Source organism: Homo sapiens, chromosome 2 (genome assembly GCF_000001405.40).
Source record: "Homo sapiens chromosome 2, GRCh38.p14 Primary Assembly".
In the NCBI taxonomy this organism is placed as follows: domain Eukaryota; kingdom Metazoa; phylum Chordata; class Mammalia; order Primates; family Hominidae; genus Homo; species Homo sapiens.
The window spans coordinates 230,469,938-230,496,240 of record NC_000002.12 but is presented as its reverse complement, the minus strand read 5'-3'; the positions used below and the strand labels follow the sequence as shown (position 1 = coordinate 230,496,240).

General features: G+C 39.0%; 1 protein-coding gene and 1 long non-coding RNA gene across 7 annotated transcripts in view; one reads left to right on the top strand and one right to left on the bottom strand.

The window, feature by feature from the left end:
* SP100 (SP100 nuclear antigen) overlaps positions 1 to 26,303 on the bottom strand; it is a 129,406-nt gene that overhangs the window by 49,366 nt on the left and 53,737 nt on the right. For 3 of the 6 annotated variants that reach the window (NM_001080391.2, NM_003113.4, NM_001206701.2), the window contains exons 15-18: positions 26,143 to 26,226; positions 22,801 to 22,917; positions 21,794 to 21,847; positions 1,781 to 1,825 (exon numbers count right to left, since the gene is read on the bottom strand). In NM_001080391.2, coding sequence (NP_001073860.1) covers positions 1,781 to 1,825; positions 21,794 to 21,847; positions 22,801 to 22,917; positions 26,143 to 26,226 — 300 coding nt within the window. Of the gene's footprint in view, positions 1 to 1,780; positions 1,826 to 21,793; positions 21,848 to 22,800; positions 22,918 to 25,710; positions 26,227 to 26,303 lie in introns of those variants that run through there. The other 3 variants (NM_001206702.2, NM_001206703.2, NM_001206704.2) reach the window with 1 other exon arrangement.
* LOC101928816 (uncharacterized) overlaps positions 1 to 26,303 on the top strand; it is a 71,871-nt gene that overhangs the window by 17,065 nt on the left and 28,503 nt on the right. The gene's annotated exons all lie outside the window — the stretch shown is intronic.

Here is a 26,303-nt window from a genome sequence, read left to right as displayed (position 1 = left end):
GAGAACAGGTTTGAAAAGGAAGTAGAAGGAATAAATGTGATTTCTGCTTAGACTTAACAAATCCAAGTATTTTAATAAAATAGTTAAGGTAGAGAGGCTTCTATAGAAACCAGTAGAAACATGACGGAAAAAACATCTTAGACCTGGGTAAGTACAAACTGGAATATAACCAAGATGACAGATAGGTATAGAAATAAAAATGATAGAGATGCTAGAAATATTATATGTATATACTTATTTATAGTAGAGTTATATTTAAAGTTACTTATACTTGAAAATATATCATTTACATAAACATATATATCTATGTATATGAGTGACAGACAAATAATCAGAAGTAATGGGAAAAAATATATCCAAATATGCTTTAGCTCTAGAGGAAAAAGTGCTACTATCTCTATAGTGCCATATCAACTTGCCAGAAGTATTTTACAAGATGCAAAAATAAATAAAGAAATAAAGTATGCAAGAGAAGCATAAGTAGAATGGGAGATGGAAGGAAATAAAAGAGAGACAAAGAAGAGGAAGAAAAGGAGGAATGCAATAAGCATAAAATTCACAAGATCTGATGAAGAGAATGGACTGTCACGTCTTTTTTATCTTCACAGTGTGGCATATGCTCTGATTGAGTTTGGTTCACTGCCTGTAATCCCAGCATTTTGGGAGGCCGAGGCAGGTGGATCACCTGAGATCAGGAGTTCAAGACCAGCCTGGCCAACATGGCGAAACCCTGTCTTTACTAAAAATACAAAAATTAGCTTGGCATGATGGTATGCGCCTGTAATCCCAGCTACTCGGGAGGCTGAGGCAGAATTGCTTGAACCTGGGAGGCAGAGGTTGCAGTGAGCTGAGATCGTAGCACTGTACTCCAGCCTGGGTGACAGAGCCAGACTCCATCTCAAAAAAGAAAAAAATAAATAAAATAACCCCGTGTTTCTCAGGCTTAGATCTGATGTGGCACCAGTACTCTGGCTTCCATGTAATTGATTCAAGTTCTCTCTGTCTGTTTCTCCATGTTCTGTCCTGGACTGTATTAGTTACAACACACCTTTCTAACACTTCCTCCTGTTCCCTCATTTCCTAATCAAGGCTGGCATGTCTCTGCCCACATATCTCTGTAATGCATCTCAGCTTCCAGCTCCTGTCCTTGCCAAAGAGTCTCAGGTGACAAAAAGGCTGGATCTGAATAAATGGAGAGTCTGAGTTTTCCTCCACATTTAAGGGAATCAGTGACTTTGGAGGCAAACATAAAGGGCAAGTAGGCATATTGCTATTTGTCACCCATAATCATTCCTTCTTCCATAAGAATAGACTTACAGCTGAACCAAGGACTGCCCGGCCAGCGTTATATTTCTCAGCCTCGCTTTGCAGCTAGCTCTGGCTGTGTGACCAAGTTTTGGCCAATGGGATGTGGGCAGAAGACTTTTGAGTCTTTCTATTAAAATAAATAAATGGCTGGTTCTTTTGTCAATTTTTTTTTCATTCCCACTGGTTGGGAGACAATGTCAACCAGCTCAGCCCTTGTGGACCCACAGTTGGAAACCTCATGTTAAGGAAGGCAGACTGCCTACCACTTCTGGGCTCTTAGATTATTTGGTTTAAGCCACTGTATTTTGGGATCTGTTTGTTACAATGACTTAGCTGGTACTCTAAAGAATCCATGAGGTCTGAAGCTACCGTGGCCCATAGGAGATTCTGAGGCTGCAGCAAAGATGGGGTCTGGCAGGAAGAACAGGACCACAGCGAGTTCAAAGGAGTAAATCCCCACATTTCTTCTTACCTCTTTGGAGACCATTTACTTTAGATCTATGCCTTCTCTTTTTTCCTGCAAACAGAAAAGAAAGAAAATAATCCTTTAGAACTATAAACAAAGATTTACACACTTTATATGTCAATAGTTTACAAGCATTGAATTTTGTTTTCCTTCTACTTTTGCGGGGCTAAGTCCTCGGCCACCAACATCCCATCTTGGTTGTTGTCACGCAGAAACCAATAACCACAAAGCAACCTGTTTTTACACAGTGCCAATCATTTACACTATGCTTGTACATATCCATATGTGGTCTTATCATTCACAATAAAGAAAGTTTTTAAAGTAGCTGAAATCAAGCAGAAGGTGACAGCAGCAGCAGAAGAGTACCAAGAGGGTCAAGCAACAGTAGGTCTAAGAAATCACCAGTGATGGCCGGGCACAGTGGCTCGTGCCTGGAATCCCAGCTCTTTGGGAGGCCAAAGTGGGTGAATCACTTGTAGGCCAGGAGTTTGAGACCAGCCTGATCAACATGGCAAAATCCTATTACAAAAATTAGCCTGGAGTGGTGCCATGTACCTGTAGTCCCTGCTACTTGGGAGTCTGAGGCAGGACAATTGCTTGAACCTGGAAGGAGATTGCAGTGAGCTGTGATGACACCACTGCACTTTCAGTCTGGGCCACGGAGCAAGACTCCGTCTCAAAAAAGAGAAATAAAAAAAAGAAAGAAATTACCAGTAAAGTACACTTGGTGGAATTCAGAGGCATACTTTGAAGAGCTAAAGCTGTAATTGTGTTTATAACAGCCAGAACTTAAGAAATAAGTAGAAAAAAAAAATCAGAGAAATGAAGACAAATTTAGAAGGCAAATAAAGGGGATTAGACATTTCAGAAATTAAAGTGAAGGACATAGATTACAGAAATAGGTAAAGGAAACAAGAAATTTTAAGAATGATTAAACAAATTAGAAAATAAGCTGGTTGCAGTGGCTCACCCCTGTAATCTTAGCACTTTGGGAGGCCGAGGCAGGTGGATCACCTGAGCTCAGGAGTTTGAGACCAGCCTGGCCAACATGGCAAAACCCCATCTCTCCTAAAAATAAAAAAATTAGCTGGCATGGTGGCACATGCCTGTAGTCCCAGCTACTTGGGAGGTTGAGGCAGGAGAATCACTTGAACCTGGGAGGTGGAGGTTGCAGTGAGCTGAGATGGCTCCACTGCACTCCAGCCTGGGTGACAGAGTAAGACATTGTTTCAAATAAAATAACATAAAATAAAAAATAGAAAATAATCAATGTAAGTGAACAAATTATTGGAGTTCCCAAAGAAGAAAATCAAAATAATAGAATAAATACTTGATGAAAAAAGTCTGTGGAATTATAATATAAATTGAAATGTATACATCAAAAGTACCTATCTCTTCACCCTGTGACAGAGAAATTGACCCAAAACAGCCAACACTGAGATATATTTCCAACAAATTTATTGGACTTTAAAGATAAATAAAGAATTGAATGGGCGGTGTAGGCAAAAAGTTATTTTCAAGGGAGACTTATTGGCCACAGAATTTTCCACAGCAACATTTAATGCCATGGGAGAGTGGAGAAAAACCTATAAGATATTTCTAGAAACAAAGAATGAGCAAACTATTTTTCAGGTATAAATAACACAAACACATAATTTTGAACAGAAAAATTCTTGGAATGTAGTTTCTGAGTCCTTATTGTGAAAATTACTAGAAGATATACTTCAGCAAACTAAGGTAGAACTGAAAAATTCTGGCAAAAGGACAAAAATAAAAGTGAGCAGTAGGGTGACAGATGAGAATATGAAATGCATATGCTCTGACAATATAGAAATAGTATAATAACAAAAAATATGAGAAGGGTTAGGTGCAGTGGCTCATGCCTGTAATCCCAGCACTTTGGGAAGCATAGGTGGAAAGATCGCTTGAAGCCAGGAGTTTGAGACCAGCTTGGGCAACCCAGCAAGACCTTGTCTCTACAAAAAATTTGAAAAATTAGCAAGCTATGTTGGTGCACACCTGTAGTCCTAACTACTCTTGAGGCTGAGGTAAGAGGATCACTGGAGCCCAGGAGTTAGAGGTTGCAGCTAATATTGCACCACTGCCCTCTAGCCTGGGTGACAGAGTGAGACCCTGTCTCTAGCCAAACCAAACCAAAACAAACAAACGAAAAACAGGGAGGAGAGAGCAAAAATAGGCTGTAGGGCAAGTTCTTTGTTTATTTTATAGGTAGGAATCCAAAGGTATTGTGTTGACAAATCCAAGAGTAGATGTAAAGCAAGGTTAATGGCTGAAAGGTAAACATGGTAATGGCACAGCCTAAAATTGGATGGGAGAGGAAAAAGACTGGACAATGGAATGGCACACAGGCTGATTTTATAAATCTTCTGGGTGGGAAACTAAAGGATACTGTCTAAAATAGAGCACCAAAGGAATCATATAAAGGTAATCCTAAAAGTAATCACTAGAACAAAAAAGCAAACCTTCTTTAAATTGGAAGTATACACTCCTAACCACTGAAAAAATAGGAAATGAGTGTGGGCTGCTTACCCATTCATTTATTTCAAGGAAAAGACTCAGAGGTGGCTCACATATCTTCTGCTTATATGCCATTGGCTAGAACCTAATGACATGGTCAGAGCGAACTGTAAGGAAGGCTGAAAGTATCGTTATATGGTTTGGCTCCGTGTCCCCACCCAAATCTCATGTTGAATTGTAATCCTTGTGTGTTGGGGGAGGGGCCTGGTGGAAGGTGATTTGGATCACGGGGGCAGATTTTCCCTTTGCTGGTCTCATGATAGTCAGTTCTCACAAGATCTGGTGGTTTAAAAATGTGGCACTTCAGCAGCCAGCACTGGGACTCACAACTGCCTAACACTCTAAGTTCTCTGGGCAGGGGAAGGGTGGCATCCATCTCTATAGCTCCAGGCCATGCTTCTCCTCTGCTGGAGCCAGGGAGGCTGGATGGCTTGGTCCCAAGATGTGTCCCTCACAGCCCAACACACTGGCTGTGGCCTACTACAGCCAGAGTGCCTCTTCAGGCCTGACCCTGACTCATCCTTCCTCACTGGGTGGGGCTTCCCTGCAGGAACTCCAATAACTCCAGCCAGAGGCTCAGGGACAGAACCCAGATGTCCTTGGGCCTGAGCCCATAGCAGAAAGGCCGCAGTCTCCATGAACCAGCAGACTTAGCCTTTCCTCCTGGTAGTTCTGAGGAATCCGTGCAGCCCAGACAACTGGGTTTCACCCCGCCCCCAAAGCACACCTCCTACACCAAGGGACAGTCAATGTGCTTCATTGAATAAAGCCTCCAAGAAATATGGGACTTTGTAAAAAGACCAAACCTATGACTGATTGGAGTACCTGAAAGAGATGAGAAGAATGGAAACAAGATGGAAAACATACTTCTGGATATTATCCAGGAGAACTTCCCCAACCTAGCAAGGCAGGCCAACATGCAAATTCAAGAAATACAGAGAACACCATCTAGATACTCCAAGAGAAGATCAATCCCAAGACACATAATCATCAGATTCTCCAAGGTCCAAATGAAGGAAAGACCAGAGAGAAAGGCCAGGTCACCTACAAAGGGAAGCCCATCAGACTAACAGCAGACCTCTCAACAGAAACTCTACAAGCCAGAAGAGATTGGGTGCCAATATTCAACATTCTTAAAAAAAAATTTTCAATACAGAATTTCATATCCAGCCAAACTAAGCTCCACAAGTGAAGGGGGAATAAAATCCTTTTCAGACAAGCAAATGCTGAGGGATTTTGTTACTACTAGGCCTGCCTTGCAAGAGCTCCTGAAAGAAGCACTAAAATAAAGAAAAAGCCAGTACCAGCCACTGCAAAAACACCCTAAAAAATAAAGACCAGTGACATTATGAAAAAACTGCATCAACTAGTGTGCAAAATAACCAGATAGCATCTTGATGACAAGATCAAATTCACACATAACAATACTAACCTTAAATGTAAATGGGCTAAATGCCCCAATTAAAAGACAGACTGGCAAACTGGATAGAGTCAAGACCCATTGGTGTGCTGTATTCAGGAGACCCATCTCACCTGTAAAGACATGCATAGGCTCAAAATAAGGGAATGGAGGAAAATTTACCAAGCAAATGGAAAGCAAAAAAAAAGCAGAGGTTGCAATCCTAGTCTCTGACAAAACAGACTTTAAACCAACAAAGATCAAAAAAGACAAAGAAGGGCATTACATAATGGTAAAGGGAAAAATTCAACAAGAAGAGCTAACTATTCTAAATATATATGCACCCAATACAGGAGCACCCAGATTCATAAAACAAGTCCTTAGACTCCCACATAATAATTGTGGGAGATTTTAACACCCCACTGTCAATATTAGACAGATCAATGAGACAGAAAATTAACAAGGATATTCAGGACTTGAACTCAGCTGTGGATCAAGTGGACCTAATAGACATCTACAGAACTCTCCACCCCAAATCAACAGAATATATGTTCTTTTCAGTGTCACATGGTACTTATTCTAAAATTGACCACATAATTGGAAGTAAAATACTCCTCAGCAAATGCAAAGAACTGAAATCATAACAAATAGTCCCTCAGACCACAGCACAAACAAATTAGAACTCAGGATTAAGAAACTCACTCAAAACCACACAATTACATGGAAATTGAACAACCTGCTCCTGAATGACTCCTGGGTAAATAATGAAATTAAGGCAGAAATCAAGAAGTTCTTTGAAACCAATGAGAACAAAAAGACAACGTACCAAAATCTCTGGGACACAGCTAAAGCAGTATTAAGAGGGAAATTTATAGCACTAAATGCCCACATCGGAAATCTAGAAAGATCTAAAATCTATACCCTAATATCACAATTAAAAGAGCCAGAGAGACAAGAGCAAACTAATCCAAAAGCTAGCAGAAGACAAGAAATAACTAAGATCAGAGCAGAATTGAAGGAGATAGAGATATGAAAAACTCTCCAAAAAAACCAGGAGCTGGTTATTTGAAAAAATTAACAAAATAGATAGACCACTAGATAGACTAATAAAGAAGAAAAGAGAGAAGAATCAAATAGACACAATAAAAAAAGATAAAGGGGATATCACCACCGACCCCACAGAAATACAAACTACCATCAGAGAATACTATAAACACCTCTACACAAATAAACTAGAAAATCTAGAAGAAATGGATAAATTCCTGGAAACATACACCCTCCCAAGACTAAACCAGGAAGAAGTCAAATCCCTGAATAAACCAATAACAAGTTCTGAAATTGAGGCAGTAATTAACAGCCCACCAACAAAATAAAGCCCAGGACCAGACTGATTCACAGCTGAATTCTACCAGAGGTACAAAGAGTAGCTGGTACCTTTCCTTCTGAAACTATTCCAAACAATTGAAAAGGAGTGACTCCTCCCTAACTCATTTTATGAAGCCAGCATCATCCTGATACCAAAACCTAGGAGAAACACAATAAAAAAAGGAAACTTCAGGCCAATATCCCTGATGAACATTGATGCAAGAATTCTCAATAAAATACTGGCAAACTGAATCCAGCAGTACATTAAAAAACATATCCATCATGATCAAGTAGGCTTCATCCCTGGGATGCAAGGCTGGTTCAACATATGTAGATCAATAAATGTAATCCATCACATAAACAGAACCAAAGACAAAAACCACATGATTATCTCAATAGATGCAGAAAAGGTCTTTGAAAAAATTCAACATCCCTTCATGTTAAAAACTCTTGGCCGGGCGCTGTGGCTCACGCCTGTAATCCCAGGACTTTGGGAGGCCGAGGCGGTTGGATCATGAGGTCAGGAGATTGAGACTGTCCTGGCTAACACAGTGAAACCCCATCTCTACTAAAAATGCTAAAAATTAGCCAGGCATGGTGGCGGGTGCCTGTAGTCCCAGCTACTTGGGAGGCTGAGGTGGGAGAATGCCGTGAACCTGGGAGGCGGAGCTTGCAGTGAGCCGAGATCATGCCACTGCACTTCAGCCTGGGCAACAGACTGAGACTCCGTCTCAAAAAACAACAACAACAAAAACAACAAAAACCCAAACAAACAAAAAAAACTCTCAATAAACTAGGTATTGATGAGACATACCTCCAAATAATAAGAGCTATTTATGACAAACCCACAGCCAATATCATACTGAATGGGCAAAAGCTGGAAGCATTCCCTTTGAAAACTGGCCCAAGACAAGGATGCCCTCTCTCTCCACTCCCGTTCAACATAGTATTGGAAGTTCTGGCCAGGGCAATCAGGCAAGAGAAAGAAATAAAGACTATTCAAATCGGGAGAGGGGAAGTCAGATTGTCTGTACTTGCAGATGACATGATTTTGTATTTAGAAAACCCCATCATCTGAGCCCCAAAACTCCTTAAATTGATAAGGAATGTCAGAAAAATCTCAGGATACAAAATCAATGTGCAAAAATCACAAGCATTCCTTTACACCATCAGTAGGCAAGCAGAGAGCCAAATCATGAATGAACTCCCATTCACACTCACTACAAAGATAATAAAATACCTAGGAATACAGCTAACAAGGGATGTGAAGGACCTCTTCAAGGAGAACTACAAACCACTGCTCAAGGAAATAAAAGAGGACATGAATAAATGAAAAAACATTCCAACCTTATGGATAGGAAGAATCAATATCATGAAAATGGCCATACTGCCCAAAGTAATTTATAGATTCAATGCCATTCCCATCAAACTACCATTGACATTCTTCACAGAATTAGACAGAATTAGAAAAAACTACTTTAAATTTCATTTGGAATCAAAGAAGACCCCATACAGTCAAGACAATCCTAAGCAAAAAGAACAAAGCTGGAGGCATCAGCCTACTTGATGTCAAATTATACTACAAGGCTACAGTAACCAAAACACCCCCATGGTACTGGTACCAAAACAGACATATAGACCAATGGAACAGAACAGAGACCTCAGAAATAACACCGCATATCTGCAACCATCTGATCTTTGACAAACCTGACAAAGACAAGTAATGGGGAAGGGATCTCCTATTTGATAAATGGTGTTGGGAAAACTGGCTAGCCATATGCAGAAAACTGAAACTGGACCCCTTGCTTATGCCTTACACAAAAATTAACTCAGGATGGATTAAAGACTTAAAATGTATAACCCAAAGCCATAAAATCCCTGGAAGAAAACATAGGCAAAACACTGAGGACACAGGCATGGGCAAAGACTTCATGACAAAAATGCCAAAAGCAATTGCAACAAAAGCAACAATTGACAAATGGGATCTAATTAAACTAGAGAGCTTCTGCACAGCAAAAGAAACTATCATCAGAATGAACAGGCAACCTACAGAATGTGAGAAAATTTTTGCAATCTATCCATCTGACAAAGGTCTAATATCCAGAATTTATGAGGAACTTTAACAAATTTACAAGAAAAAACAAAACCATCAAAAAGTGGACAAAGGATATGAACAGACACTTCTCAAAAGAAGACATTTACGTGGCCAATGAACATGAAAACAAGCTCAACATCACTGAACATTAGAGAAACGCAAATCAAAACCACAGTGAGTTACCATCTCACACCAGTCAGAATGGCAATTATTAAAAAGTCAAGAAACAACAGATGCTGGTGAGGCTGTGAATAAATAGGAACACTTTTACACTGTTGATGGGAATGTAAATTAGTTCAACCATTGTGGAAGACAGTATGGTGATTCCTCAAGGATCTGGAACCAGAAATACCATTTGACCTAGCAATCCCATTACTGGGTATATACCCAAAGGAATATAAGTCATTCTACTATAAAGACACATGCACACGTCTATGTTTATTGCAGCACTATTTGTAATAGCATAGTCATGGATCCAAACCAGATGCCCAACAATGATAGACTGGATAAAGAAAATGTGGTACATCTACACCATGGACTACTATGCAGCCATAAAAAGGAATGAGATCATGTGCTTTGCAGGGACATGGATGAAGCTGGAAGCAATCATCCTCAGCAAACTGACCCAGGAACAGAAAACCAAACACTGTATGTTCTCACTCATAAGTGGGAGTTGAACAATGAGAACACATGGACACAGGGAGGGGAACACATAGGGCCTGTTGTGGGGTGGAAGGTGAGGGGAGTGAACCTAGAGGATGGGTCAATCAGTACAGCAAACCACCATGACACATGTATACCTATGTAACAAACCTGCACATTCTGCACATGTACCCCGGAACATAAAAAAAAATGTGGCACTTCCCCGTAGCTCACCCTCTCTCCTGGGTTGCCATGGTAAGATGTGCTTGCTTCCCCTTCACCTTCCGCTGTAATTGTAAGTTTCCTGAGGCCTCCCAGCCATGTGGAACTGTGAGTCAATTATACCTCTTTTTTTTAAAATAAATTACCCAGTCTCAGGTAGATCTTTACAACAGTGTGAGAATGGACTAATACAGATAGTCTCAGCTAGGTAGCCACTAGCTAGTTGTAACCACTAGAAGAAAAATGCAAATCTTCCTTAGTATCAGAAGTACACACATGCACATAAAATGAATAGAAGACAGAATGCAGAGTGTTGACTTTTAAAAAACCCAAATCCCTAGAACATATAATATAAACCAATGTGACTAAAACAAGATCAAACGTCTTGGTTCTATCAATAAAAGTAAATGGGCTTAACTCACTTATTTAAAAAAGAAATTTTGAGAGACTGAATTACAAAGTAAAACCCAACATTTTATCATGTATACAAGACTCATTTAAAAACATACAAAACATTGAAAATAAATATATAGGCAAAGATATATTCAGTATACATCAATAAAAGAAATCAGGGACCATGTAATTCAGGCCAAAAAGTTTTAAGAAAGTAGAAATTATAGGAGATGCAATAAGAAATGGGTAGAAACACACTATTAATAGAAGACTTTATTTTTGTTTCTTTTAGCCCATGAGAGATCAGTGTAGAAAACAGAAAAGGATGGAAGACCCAAATTATTTGTTTAACAGGATCAATATGATTGATACATGTTGAACTCCATAGCCAGAAAATAGAGTATACACATTTTCCCCACCCTCTCTTAAATAACTGAGTCAAAGAGGAAATGCAAATACAAATTGCAGGATATTTAGCAAATGACAATAATAAAAAACATTGCCTATGAGAAGCTATGGAAGACTGTTAATATAGTGCCCAAAGGGAGGGGAAAAGTCTTAGCTGGGTGTGGTAGCTCATGCCTGTCATCCCAGCTACTTGGGAGGCTAAGATGGGTGTATCATTTGAGACCAGGAGTTCAAGACCAGCCTAGGCAACATAGTGATACCCCATCTCTAAAATAAAATAAATAATAAAATAAAATAAAATAAAATAAAATATTGGGACCTGGTGCCATGTGCCTGTATCCCAGCTACTTGGGAGGCTGAAGCAGGAAGATCACTTAAGCTGAGGAGTTCAAGGCTGTAGTGACCTATGATTACACCACTGCACTCCAGCCTGAGTGACATACCAGGATCCCTATCTCCAAAAACAACCAAACCAAACCAATAAATAGCCTTAAATAATGAACCAGTGGGAAAAAAAGACACCAGTTGAATTAAACATATGCCTCGGAAAAGTTAGAACAAGCACAAAAAAGTAAAGCAGATTGTATGATTATATACCTGGAAAACCCAAGGGAAGCAATTAAAAATATACTATCATAATAGGAAAATTTAGTAAGTTTCAAAATTAAGATATAGAAATGAGTAGCTTTCCTATATGGGAGTAAAAACCAGTTAAAAGATATAATGCAAGGGAAGACCTCATTTATAATAACAACGAAAGCACACTGCCACCAAAGCTCAGACTAAGTGTAAAGAAAGTCTGCATCACCCACCCACATGCAGGAAATAAATGTAAAAGTTCCACTGAGGGCACAGAGGACCCTTGAACAAATCGATCATCATGGCGTGTTCTTGGGGAGGCAGTCTAGCATCATAAAGATGGGAGTTCTCCCTATGTTTATTTATAAATTTAACACAATCCCACTAAAAGTACCAATAGATTTTTAAAAAGTTGAGTAAAGCTAATTGGCACACAATCTTCATTATTCACAGATTCCAAATCTGCAAATTTGTCTATTAGTTCAAATTTATGTGAACCCTCCAATCAATACTCGTGGCACTTCCCTGGTCATTTGCAGACATGCAGTGTGGCAAATTATTTGAGTCACCTATGCATGCTCTTAGCTGAGGTCAAACAAGGTGATGCTTTGCCTTCTTGTTTCAGCGTTCACACTGTAAACAAGAGTCCGTTTGTGGTCTATTTAGTGCCACTTTTTTGTGTGCGTTTTTGTGCTTTTTGTTGGTAATTTCACTATATAAAGTGGCACCCAAGTGTAATGCTGAAGAGTTGTCTAGTGTTCCTAAGTACAAGAAGGCTGTGACGTGGGACAGAAAGTACATGTGTTAGATGAGCTTTGTTCAGGCATGAGATATAGTGCTGTTGGATATGAGTTCAATAGTAATAAATCAATGTGATATTACATAAGGTGTCTTTATACAGAAACACATATAAAACAAGGTTATGTATTTATCAGTTGAGGAAAATATGACCAGAGGCTTCGAAAAACCTTATTCTGTATTTCTACTAGAAGCAATGGTCCAATATTTGCTAAGTCTATGTTCATGGTGACTTTATAGAATATAACTATCAGGAATAATGAGAATTGACTGTATATGTGTATATGAATACATACCCACACGTATCTGCATTTTCAGAATCTACCCACTTTTGAACGCTTCCACTGCTACCAACTTAGTCCAATTCACCATCACCCTTCCGAGACCATTGCAATAGCCTCCTTACTCCTGCCCCATCCTTGCCCTCCTAAAGTCTATTATCCATGTAGAATCCAGAGGAAGTTCTCACAACGTAATTCAGATTATAGTCCCCAGCTCAAAACTCTCTGATGTCTTCTCTTACTTAAGAATCCAAAGTCTTTGCCATGGCCTATAAGTTCTATATACCTCTGAGAAACCACTTCCCGCCCAACCCCTCTCTACCTCTCCAGCCAGTGGTCTCCCTTGCCGTTGCCTAAAGGACCATGTATAGTCCTCTCTCAGGTCTTTGCAACTGAGGTTTTCTCTGCCTCAGCTCCATGGCTTAGTCCCTCACTGCATTTAGATCTTGAGTTACATGCAGCTTGTTAGCAAGGCTCTCCTTGGACACCCTACATAAAATGGCACATTTCTGTCACTGTACACCTCCATTATTCTTTATTTTTCTTTATGACATTGTCACTATCTGAAATATTATGTACTTATTTGTGTACTGTCTATATACCCTAAGTAGAATGTAAGCTCGATGAGATTTTTCTCACTTCTTTATCCCTATTGAGCAACATTGGAAATAAGGATTTGCTGAATAAATGAATAAAGGGTCTAAAAAGGAAAGAATAAATAGTGAGATATCTCTATGTTCGTGAATAGAAACGGTCAATATTTTAGAGACGTCAGTTCTCTCCACATTTATTCTATGCAATTTCAATAAAAATTCAACAGGGTTTTCAAGGGTTGACAAAATGATATTAAAAGTTATAAGAATGATAAAATGGCTGTAATAGCCAAGACAATTTTGAAAGAGAAAAAAGTTGAGAGAACTTACCCTACCTGATATTAATACGTTATAAAATTTTAGTATTTACTAGAGTGTGATATGTATTGATGCAGAATAGATAGGGCAATGGATCAGACTAGAAAGCCCAGAAATAAACCCTATATATATATATATGTAAATGGCAGCTTGATGCATGTTATGTGTGACATTACACATCAGTGGAGAAGCTAGAAGAAATGGTTATCCAGGTTGGTAAAAATTAGACCCTTACATTATGCCACACTAAAAAAAAAAAATCAATTCTAAAAGAATTAAATATCCAAATGAGAAAAAAAATAAGAATGTCTCCACCTAATATTCCCAAAAGCAAATCTTGAGATAGGGTTTTGTTCTCAGTAGGTTTATTTTTCAAGTGATCACAAGGATTAGGAGTGAGGAACCAGGAAGAGGGAAAGGATGAGAAGGGAAGCCAATTGGGCTGGTCACCAGTGTGGTCAACTGAGCCTCACTCTTGCTGGGGACTCTCTGAAGAACCATAATGAATGATCCTCAGGCTGCCCATCTTAGGAATGGAAGCGAGAGTATTTATTCACTGGATCTGACTTTATTGGTCAAGATGTTCAATAAAGTAAGAAAAGTATTAAAATATCTTGGTAACCTGAGATTAGGCCAAGATTTCTTAAACAAGATTAAAAAAATAATTATAAATGATAAAACAGACCAATTACACAAGGATAAAATATTCCGTACATCAAAAACTTACAATCAAGTGAAAAGACAGGTCAAAAGGTGATATCAAAGAGGCTGGGGGAGTTTTTAAGAAACGCACCAGCATGGCACATGTATACATATGTAACTAACCTGCACAATGTGCACATGTACCCTAAAACTTAAAGTATAATAATTAAAAAAATATGGAGATCAGGCAAGGCCTCTCCATGGAGGAGACACCTGAGCTGAAACATGAATAAGAGGAAACCATTCTTACCAGGTAAAAGCATCTTATGTAGAGTCAACACGAAGTGCAAGGGTTCTGAGGCTGAACACTACTTGGTTTATTCAAGGAAGGCCAGAGTAGCAAGTGAGGGGGAATCATAAAGGATGAGGTTTAAGAGCTGATCAGGGGCAGCCTTTGTAATGCTTCATAGGCACAGTAAGAAGTTTAGACTTTTTTTTCTAGGTTCAACTGGAAACTTTTCTAGGTTCGACTGAAAACCACTGAAAGGATATAGCAGTTGGGTGGCCAACTGCTGAATGGAGAATAGGTTCTAGTGGGCAAGAATGAAAGCAGAGAGACCATTTAGGAGGACTCTGCGGTATTCCACATGCAAGATAATAGGGCTTGGGCCGGGGCAGTGGCAGGGGAGATAAAGAATGGACAAATCTGATATATAGTCTTGGAACTTGATGATAGAGAGAGTGCGAGGGGTTAGCATAGAGGGAAATCAAGCACACCTTCTACATTTTTGGCTCAAACTTAGTAAATGTAGTGCCATTTACTGAGATGAGGATTACTGATGAGGATGACAAGTTTGGGAATGAGAATCAAGAAATGTGCTTGACACATCAGATTTAAGACACCTGTTAGACTTCAGGTAGAAGTTTGGAGTAAGAAGTTGAATTTATGACTTCGCAGTTGAGGAGAGAGAGAAGAAAAGAAATATAATTGGTAGTCATTCACATATTGATAAAATTTAAAGAACAGGACTGGATGCAATTCCTAGGGAGAGAGTATAGAGACAAGGAAAGCACTCAGGTCCAATCCGTGGGGCACTCCAATACGTAGACATCAGGAAGCCACGAAGGGACCAACACCACCACCACCACCACCACCACCACCACCACCAATACTACCACTATCCACACTACCACCAACATCACCAGCAAATGACCAGGAAGGAGCTATATTAGCCAGTAGGAGATTGGGGTGTTCCAGAAGACAAGAGAAGAGAATGCATCCATCCACATGGCCCAAAGGAGACCACCTTCTCCCAGCTCACTCACCTGATCACGGTCATGCCAATACGTGCCAGGTGTTAAGAGGCAAAGGGCAGCCACAACTTCCAGTCAGAAAGGCCATGAGCAGGTGATCACTGAAGGCCATTCTCAGACAAGCCACACCAGCTCGATCTCTTTGACTGGAGGAACCAGCTTTTTGGAAACAGATCTTTTCAGGCCTCAGACCTCAGGCTCCTGGCAGGAGATTTGCCTCCCCTTCCAGCATTGCTCTACACACCTGCCGTCTACCCCCTACCTCATCTGTGAAGCCAGCAGGACATCCACCCTTGATCAATCTGTACAGTCCTCCTAGGGAGAAGCCCAGCTGCCTACTGAGAACATGTAGTCAAGAAGCAGACTGGCCCCCATAAATGAGATCCACAGGGAACCTGAATTAGCTGACAATATTGATTACCATGTGATTACTTATGACAAAGAGCAAGCAATGAAAAATCCCTGATCTTCTAATTTATAGGTCTTGACATTTCTTTACCCATCCTTTTATTTTTAATGTTTTTTCTTTGCTTGCTTTAAGTACATATTTTGTACAATCATATATTTGGATTAGATTTTCACAAGCTGGTAGAATTAATTTATTCATGCAAATTACTCATCCAATAACTATTAATCGGGCACTTACTGTGAATCAACCCACTATCCTAGATGCTGAGGATACAGTTGTGAATAAAACAAAGTCCTTGCTGGCGTAGAGCTTATGGTCTAGTGGGGAGACAGCAATGAAGAAATAAACACAGAAGATGGCAGAGTGTTTTGTGGAAAAGTAAACCAGAATAAGAACTTCAGGGAGTGGTGAATGGGGCTAGAAGTGTGTGTGGGAGGAGGATGTGTTATTTTATGTAGAAGAGCCAGGAAGAACTTCTCATAAGTCAGCATTTGAGGAGAGGCCTGACAAAAAGTCAGAGAGTAAGCCATGAATCCTGTCCTTCATTGGTCAAGATGCCCAAATCATGCTCTAGAAAGACTATTGCAGGCTCTGAGCACACTGCCTTATCCTGTGGAACTGGGAGTCACTGTGAATTGTCTTGCCATGTCCTATAGACTGAGCTATGGTGACTTCATCTCCAACGAAAAACATTCCACCATCTTCACTGTGAGCATGGGCTTGGCCAAAATCTCTCAAAATCTTGGCATCTGTGCTGAAGCCTTCCACACTATTGGTTGGGGGATCGCTTTAAATCTGGCTGTTTCTTCCATTTCACTGGATTTCCTATTTTACTCCAATAGTGATGGACAGTTTTGAAGCCTGTTTGTACGTCCTAACCCAAAACAGGTACCCTGAAGGAAGACTGAGTCTTTAGTACAGCTGTGGTCTAATTTACAAGGAAAGAAAAGTTGTGGGAGGGTTGGGAGTGTGAAATAGATAAGTAGAACAATAAAAAGGGAAGCGTGATGAGGTCCATAGGATGAGGTCTGGCAAATGGAAGTGGTATAAAGAAAGGCCATCAGTATTTTGAGATAAAAGAAAATAAAATGCAGAAAGTATTTTAATGATGCTGGGAATAATAATTAGCCTATAAACAGTAGCAATGCCTATAAAATATTACACAAGATGTAGTGTTAAAAGAAAGACACCATCAGCATCTTCACCTAAATACTGAACTAACTTCACGTTATGTATTTAGGTGAAGACAAGACAGAAAGGAAATCTGAAAATAAAATGATATGGGATCTGGAGCTCATTCAGAATGGAGAATGTGGGAGAGCTGTAGTTGAAAAATCTATATGCATCCTAGGCCGGGCACGGTGGCTCGCGCCTGTAATCCCAGCACTTTGGGAAGCCAAGGCGGGTGGATCACCTGAGGTCAGGAGTTCAAAACCTGCCTAACCAATATGGTGAAACCTCATCTCTACTAAAAATACAAAAATTAGCCAGGCATGGTGGTGGGCACATGTAGTCCTAGCTACTCAGGAGGCTGAGACAGGAGAATTGCTTGAATCCGGGAGGCAGAAGTTGCAGTGAGCCGAGATTGCACCACTGCACTCTGGCCTGGGTGACAGAGCTGGACTCCATCTCAAAAGAAAAAAAAAATCTTTATGCATCCTATTTCACTGTTTTTAGGTGAAATTCATTTCAGGCACCTCTATTTTTCCCAGTAACATTGAGCTCCACGGGCTTACATTTCTTGTAAGGCTAACTAATGAATTCCACTGACCAGATTTTAAAAATGTAAGTCTTCATAACTAACAAAAGAAATTGCTGAAGGAGATGAAAGGAAAGGCCCCTCGACCCATAGTTGTGGAAGGAGAGAGGACATTCTGCACCACAAGACTAACATAAAGAATCTGATTTGACAAAGTGTTAAATTGAGAAATTTCAAAAGAAGATCAGTCTTACTCTCTTGCAAAATATGGAAGTGTGTCTTTTCATAACCGTTACTGATTTGTTCTGTTCTATGTTAACATAAACTTGTCCTTAGGAGAGCTATTTGAAGAGGTCTTGTAATAATCCCACAAAATAGAAAATTACTGCCACTTCTCATGAAACCAGTTTCCAAAGAAACCTGTAATTCTGATCGATGGTTTTATTTGATAATTTTTGGGCCTGGCCATAATATTTTAAGTGACATCTGGATCCCTAAACTTATAAATGCTTGTAAAATTTTATATTAACTAAGTGGCATTCTGATTCTCTCATATGCAAGTAGGTAATAAATTGACTACAGATTTCCTTTTAAATAAAGATTTTGAGAGTCTTGTCTCATTTAAATTCCCTCCAGTTATTATGTAATAGAAAAAAAGATATTCATAGCAACACATAAATTTATACAATGTATAAAACTTTTTTAAAATGCCAGAATTGTACAAAAAAATTTTTAGTGGAAGAACATTACATAAGACATGAATAAAAGAGTAAAAGTCTCTGTTCTTCCCAAATTAACCTTCAAATTCAATGCTTTTTTTTTTGTTTGTTTTGTTTTGAGACAGGGTCTTGTTCTGTCACCCAGGCTGGGGTGCAGTGGTGCAGTCTCAGCTCACTGCAACCTCTGCCTCCCGGGTTCAAGCAATACTCCTGCCTCAGCCTCCTGAGAAACTGGGATTATAGGCATAAGCCATGATGCCTAGCCAGTTCAATGCATTTCTGATCAGAGCTTTCAATGGACTTGGGAAGGAGTTGGGAGAGATCTTCTTGAGCTCATTCTAAAATTCACCCCAATGAAGCATCAGGATGGTTCTACCTCTGAGCTCTTCTTTCTTTTCTGTAGTGCCTTCAATTACAAAAGAAGAACATAGAATATAGACAGGTAAAGGCAGTGTGTAATCAAAGTGGTGATTCAAATCACCATGTCACCATGCCATAGTGTGGAGAATATTTTTAAAATTCCCACCTCACTTACACAGAAAGGCAAACCCCCTGTAGATTACATATGTAAACATTAAAAATGATCAGTTATATCAAACTTCTAGAATCAAATATAAAACAATATTTTTAAAATATTGAGGAAGAAATAGCTGTTGTAAATATGATATGGAACCCAAGAACCAGTCAGAAAAAGGCTGACAAATTTGACTACATAAAAATTTAAAACTTCTCTAGGACAAAAGATTCCCTTAACAAATCTAAAAGAAAAACAACAAATGGACAAAATACTAGCAACGTATATGACCAAGATTTAATATATATAATATTTAAGAGTTCTATATTCATTCAGAATAATAAGAAAAACACCATGACTTAAAACACTGAGAGGGCCGGGCGTGGTAGCTCATGCCTGTAATCCCAGCACTTTGGGAGGCCGAGGCAGGCAGATCACAAGGTCAGGAGATCGAGACCATCCTGGCTAACACAGTGAAACACCGACTCTACTAAAAGTACAAAAAATTAGCCGGGTGTGGTGGCAGGTACCTGTAATCCTAGCTACTCGGGAGGCTGAGGCAGGAGAATGGTGTGAACCTGGGAGGCAGAGCTTGCAGTAAGCCGAGATCACACCACTGTGCTCCAGCCTGAGCAACAGTGCAAGACTCCGTCAAAAATAAACAAAAACACAACAAAACAAAACAAAGAAACACAGAGCATTCTCTGACAAAGAGTTTTATGAAGAAGAAAAAGAAATGACCGATAATAAATGAAAAATTCCTGACGACACTAAAAATGAAAACAATGCACATTAAAGCAGCTCTGAAATAAGACTTTTTATATTTCAATTTAAAACGTTTTTATTGTCCAGGTATATTAGTTTAAAAAGCAAGAAAGGACAAGTGTGTACAGAGTTACTCATTTAAATAAAACTATATTCCAAAACGTGTTAATACATGCATAGTAAAATTCTGGAAAGATAGACACCAATGTTCACAAGAACATCTATTTTCAAATCAGAATGAAAAGCAAGATGAAGACAGAATAAAGCAACATGAGCATTTTGAAAAAAATAAATGGCTACTTTAAAAGGCATTCAGGTTTTATCTTATGAAAGGAGTAGAAAAAAATGCTCCTGGAACTGACAAATTTAGTAAAGTTTCAGAATACAAAATCGATGCATAAAAATCAGTAGCATCTTTATACACTAAAAACGTTCTAGCTGAGAATCAAATGAAGAACACAGTCCCATTTACAATAGCCATAAAGAAAATGAGATCCCTAGGAATTCATCCAGCCAAGGAGGTGAAAGATATCTACAAGAAGAAGTACAAAACACTGCTGAAAGAAATCAGAGATAGCACAAATAAATAGAAAATTATTCCATGCTCATGGATTGGAAGAATCAATACAGTTTGAATGACTATACTGTTTAAATCAATTTATAGATTCAACACCATCCTTATTAAAATAAAAGCGTCATTTTTCACAGAATTAGAAAAATCTATTCTAAAACTCAGTTGGAACCATAAAAGAGCCTGAATAGCCAAAGCAATTGTAAACAAAAAGAACAAAGCTAGAGGCATCGCGTTGCCCAACTTCTAACTATACTATAAGGCTACAGTAATCAAAATGGCATGGTACTGGTACAAAAACAGACACATAGACCAGTGGAACAGAACAGAGAACTCAGAAACAAACCTGCTCACTTACAACCATCTGATCTTCAACAAAATCAACAAAAATAAGCAATGGGAAATGGACTGTCTATTCAATAAATGATGCTGGAATAACTGGCTAGACATACGAAGAAAAACGAAACTGGACCCATACTTCTCATCCTATACAAAAATTAACTCAAGATGGATTAAAGATTTAAATGTAAGACCTAAAACTATAAAAATCCTAGAATAAACCTAGGAAATACCCTTCCTGACATAGGCTTTGGCAAAGAATTTATGGCTAAGTCTCCAAAAGCAATTGCAACTCAAACAAAAACTGACAAGTGGGACCCAGTTAAACTAAATAGCTTCTGTACAACAAAAGAAATTACCAAAAGAGTAAACAGACAGCCTTCAGAATGGGAGAAAATTTTTGCAAACTGTGCATATAACGAAGGTCTGATATCCAGAATCTACAAGGAACTTAAACAAATCAACAAGCAAAAAACAAAATCCAATTAAAAAATGGGCAAAGGACATGAACAGACACTTCTCAAAAGAAGACATACAAGTGGTCAACAAACATGAAAAAAATGCCCAACATTACTAATCATCAGATAAATGCAAATCAGAATCACAGTGAGATACCATCTCACACTACTCAGAGTGGCTATTATTAAAAAGTCAAGAAAATAACAGATGCTGGTGAGGTTGTGGAGGAAAAGGAATGCTCATACACTGTTGGTGGGAGGGTAAAATTAGTTCAACCATTGTGGAAGACAGTGTGGCAATTCCTCAAAGACTTAAAGACAGAAATGCCATTCTACCCAGCAATCCCACTACCTTTAGGTATATACCCAAAGGAAAATAACTTGTTCTATCAAAAAGATACACGCACTCATATGTTCCTTATAGTGCTATTCACAAAAGCAAAGACACGGAACCAATCTAGTTGCCCATCAACAGTGAATTGGATAAAGAAAATGTGGCACACATATACACCATGAAATACTATGCAGCCATAAAAAGAATGAAATCACACCCTTCGCAGCAACATGGATGGAGCGGAGGCCATTATCCTAAGCAACTTAATGCAAGAACAGAAAACCAAATACTGCATGTTCTTACTTACAAGTGGAAGCTAAACATCGAATACACATAAATGTGAAGATGAGAACAAGAGACACTGGGGACCACTAGATGGGGCAGGGGGAGAGGGTGGCATGGGCTGAAGAACCATCTGTTGGGTACTATGCTTACTGCCTGGGTGATGGGATTTTTGGGACACCAAGCCTCAGCATCACACAATTTACCCATGTAACAAACCTGCAAATGCACCCTTTAATCTATAATAAAAGTTGAAAAAAGAAAATGATGATAATAAACCTTAGCATTAAAAAATAGTTCATTTGTAACATAAAAATTAAGTAAATTCTTATTTGTTCTTACTTCTTTTCCCACTGTGTTTTTCCAAAGTAGAATTGTTTTCAACATCCATGGTATCTAGAAAGTGACAGGTAGTGGTCAGAGAACTGTAATTTATAAGTAAAATTTATAAATCTTATGACAATTCACACTGCATGGAAGGCTTGCGTTTATAACAATATTCTGAGTATAATTTATCTGTCTTCCTTCCAAAGGAAACAGACACTGAATTGATGTCTAAGGTCTTCGTCTAGTTCTCTGAGACTTTGAAACAGCTCTTCATTACTTTTATGCACCAATTTCCTCATTTATGAAACAGGGACAGCAACGGTTATCCTGTTCAGCTTTAAAATTTTTATGAATATTAAATATCTTACTTGCAAGAGTTAATAGGAAATCACTATATAAATCAATAACAGTCCAGAGGATATCTTTCAAAACAATGTATTTTTAGCATAAGAGTAGGTATCTGATTTTTCTTTCCTGACAGGTAGCAGGACTATTTGTCTTTTTAGGCCTTTCCAAAGTTGTGACAAAATGACACTATTACCTGTGAGTGGAAGAACATGTTTTCTTTTTTTTTTTTTCAAGAACAAGGATGGAACTCGCTTTATAAATTCAACACTTTACTATTGATATGCTAATATAGTGAGATACTACTATGTTTACCAGTGTATTTTTTTACCACCTAACCAAGAGAGCCCATTCTGTTAAATATGGCTTTATAATGATCTCTTGCCTCCCTGCAGTTCCCAAAAGGGTCGGGTTAAGCAAATGTAGAGAACAGGATTCTGGCGGCACCAAACCTGTTCTTTGTCACAGTCTGCTCACAGTCAAGTGCAGCAGGAAACCGGGACTATGATTTCAGACTTTTGAAATTCTGAAGCTTGGGGCCTGTGGGCCCACTTCCTGTTGGTGATCCAGAGGCTGTTTCATGCTTTGCTTCAACTCTGATCACTTCCCACATCCCTACCCAGTGTCTGTGATATCCACTGAGCCACTTCCATCCCAAGACCCTAGGGTAGCCTTACCCATCATGTCAGATGCTTGACTACTTTCAGTCCTTGCTTCTTGGCTTCTTGGCACACCTTTTGGAAAACACATGACACAGGAGCACTTCTTATTTTCAGGTTCTTGTGGCTGTGATCCTAAATTGTGATTTGTAAACATTTTTATTTGTGCCCACTCCCCTTCAAAGATTCTCCTTCCCCCCAACATTAGTGACTGCCCACTCCCCACAGCTAAATTAAGGGATGGGCTCTACATCTGAAATCTCTTTTTCTTTTGTGGTTCCTCACTGTATTTTTCCCTTCTGTTCATAAATAACCCTGAGAATTTCATCTTGAAATAAAGGGTCAATTAATAGTTTGTTTCAGTGATGAAGAACACTGGAGGAGCAAAGGCTGGTTTTAGGGAAAAAGATGATGTGCTCAGTTTTGGAGGTGTTAAGTTTGAAGGTCTTGAGTAACATCCAAGTGGTGAAGTCTAAGGCCTTCAGAATCTCCAACAGGAGCCTTCTGACACTTGGATGAATGAGTTTAGAAGACAGGGCTGGCTGGAGATACACATGTAGGAATCATGAGGTTGTGGGTGGTGACTGAAATCACAGGAGTGGATGAAATGCCTGGGTGAGGCCTTTTTTAATCTGGGTGAGTCAGAGGGGCCAGGGGACACCTTATTCTGAAAACTTACTGCTATTGTGAATCATGCCTTGTGCTAAAGTTGCTTTTATCTCATGGTCATTTCAGATCCTACAATTTCTCCATCATTCTCTTCTCTCCCATTTACACTTCCCCCTTCTTGCCTCCATTTTTCTCTCATCTTTTAATTCTTTCTCTACATACTTCTTGTTGTACCTAATTTTTTACACCACTCATCACCCTTTGAATGTATCTCATTCCACCTGTTTTTCTGTTTATATCTTTAGATCTAGTTTTATTATTGAGGTGAACTTCTTTCTACTATCACTTCCTCCTTCTATTCTCTCTTCTAGCTTGTTTCTCTGAATCTTGTCTTGACTTTTTTTTTTTTTTTTTTTTTTTTTGAGACGGAGTCTTGCTCGATCGCCCAGGCTGGAGTGCAGTGGTGCGATCTTGGTTCACTGCAAGACCTGCCTCCAAGGTTCACGCCATTCTCCTGCCTCAGCCTCCTGAGTAGCTGGAGCTACAGCTGCCTGCCACCATGCCTGGCTAATTTTTTTTGTTTTTAGTAGAGATGGGGTTTCACCGTTTTAGCCAGGATGGTCTTGATCTCCTGACCTCGTGATCCGCCCACCTCGGCCTCCCAAAGTGCTGGGATTACAGGCATGAGTCACTGCGCCTGGCCCTTATCTTGATCTTGACTCTTTTTGCAATTTCAATCTTTGTCTTTATCCACATTTTCTTCATCTATATTCATCTTTATCTCACAGGTTATTACTTTCATCACCAAATGCCTGCTGTTAGGACACTGACCACATAGCCATCTCTATTACCTTTGTCTGTTCTTTATGAGCTTTCTACCTTGCAAGGCTGTCAATCAATCAGCAACTTTATTTTCACGTTTCTGGTACAATTTCTGAGAAGTGTGTTGAAAATTATCCCTCCCTCCCCCACAAAATTCCCCTACCTGGAATATTTGAATTCCTTGTCCACTTAGAAAAACTTGAAGCTGACTCTTATATCTTTTCATTTGGTGACTCTAGCCTACCTTTCTCCATTCTTTCTCCTTACTTTATCCACTCAGTGTCTCCTCCCTCCATTCAGGAGCCCAGCTCTTCTTTTTCTTTTCGCTCCCTCAAACCTGTCGCAAGCAGCCCGAGTCTGTGCACAAGTCTTTGTGTGTGTGGTGTGTATGTGTGTGTGCATATGTTTTGGGGGAGAGGTAAGGAAAAGAAAAAAGAACTTTTCCTCCATGCAAGTAGGAAAAAAAAGATAATTAATAATGAACTGAACATCATAATCGGCTTCTCCATCACAAGCTAATGGGCTGCATCTCTTCTGACTCTCTTTGTGTATTCATTGGAGGAGCTCTAAATTCACAGGACAATGAAGACAAACAAGGAAATAATAGACTATAGACAGTGACGAGGAAACCAGGGAACCTGTCTCAATGTGGTCATGCTGAACTATTTTCAGAGCTTAAACGGACTGACAAAAAAATACACCTATATCAATGAGTACACCTCATAGCCCTACTCTATCTGGCCACACTTCGTTCTCCTTCTCACTTCTCATTTTTCTGCCCATTGCCCTGCTGCTATACATTTTTGTCTCTGTCTCTTTGATTCGGTGAGCTCATCTCCCTTTGATTTATCTTGTCTCCTGTGTTGCTTTTTCTGTTTCCATCAATGATGTTCTGTTCTCCTTTATTTCTATGTTTATCTATTTTGCTTCTGTCTTTCTAGGTATTTTGTATATTATATAGCTGGTTCCATTCCTATTATCTCTGTCTGTTTGCGATTTTTATTTTTCCCTCCCCCTAAAGATTATATGTATTAACCAATATACATATATACACACACATATGTGTGTGTTTATGTATGTATACATGTTATATGTAACAAATATATGCATGTGTACACACACACACACACACAGTGGTTGTTAAATAAGCTTTCTTGCATCAGGCACTGGTATAGTCTCCTGTGAATATTCTGAGTTCCTTGCGCATCTTCTTTGGACTTTGACTTAAATGACACAGCTCTTATCCTCCTGTCTGTTACATACAACAGTCACCCACCGTGAGACACCTGGGTTGCTAGTTTCTATTGTTTCTTTAGTTTTTTGGCCCTAATACTTCTGTACATCTATTTCCTCACCCCAAAATGGGTATAGTTAGCCTGCCTATGTCTTAAAAATTTTGTGATGACAAAATAAGATATTATTTGCCAAAAGACATTGAAATAACACAATATAATCCAATTACATGATGAAGGACATCTACCAAAAACTATACTAACGTTTGAGAGTGTTTGATCTGAAGTTTTTATTTCTGTCTATAATTACATAGTAGGAACAGTTGTCTTTTGAGGCTTTACAATTACAAATGACAATGATGTCAACCCATTTATCACTATAAAAATCTAAGATCTTAGTGTTAATAGGAATGAGAGCAGGTTTAAAAAAAAGAATACCACAAATTTGCTATTTATTTCTTCTACAACAACAAAATATAATTACATACATTTAGTCAGTGAAACTCTTTCTGTTAAACATGAGTTTATCATAATTTCCTGCCTCTTTCCATTTTCTAAAATGCAAAAAGGAGTTCCCAGATGAACTGGATACAAGGTAGTGAAGGTGCTCAGAATAAAAAGCGTCTGGAAACAGCAGCTTTTAATTCACATTCCTGACATTCTGCAGGCCAAGTCTTGGCATCCTAATCTTCTTTACCTGACCCTCTTCTTAGGGATGAGCTGCAGGTTTCCTGAAGCTCTTCTCCATTACTCAGGTCTGAAAAGTCACTACTGCTGAAACCTGCAGAAAAAAATAAAATTCCTTAACAGTCTTAGTCTGAGTCTTAGGAATCAGCAGGGAATTCTTTAAAAGCAAAA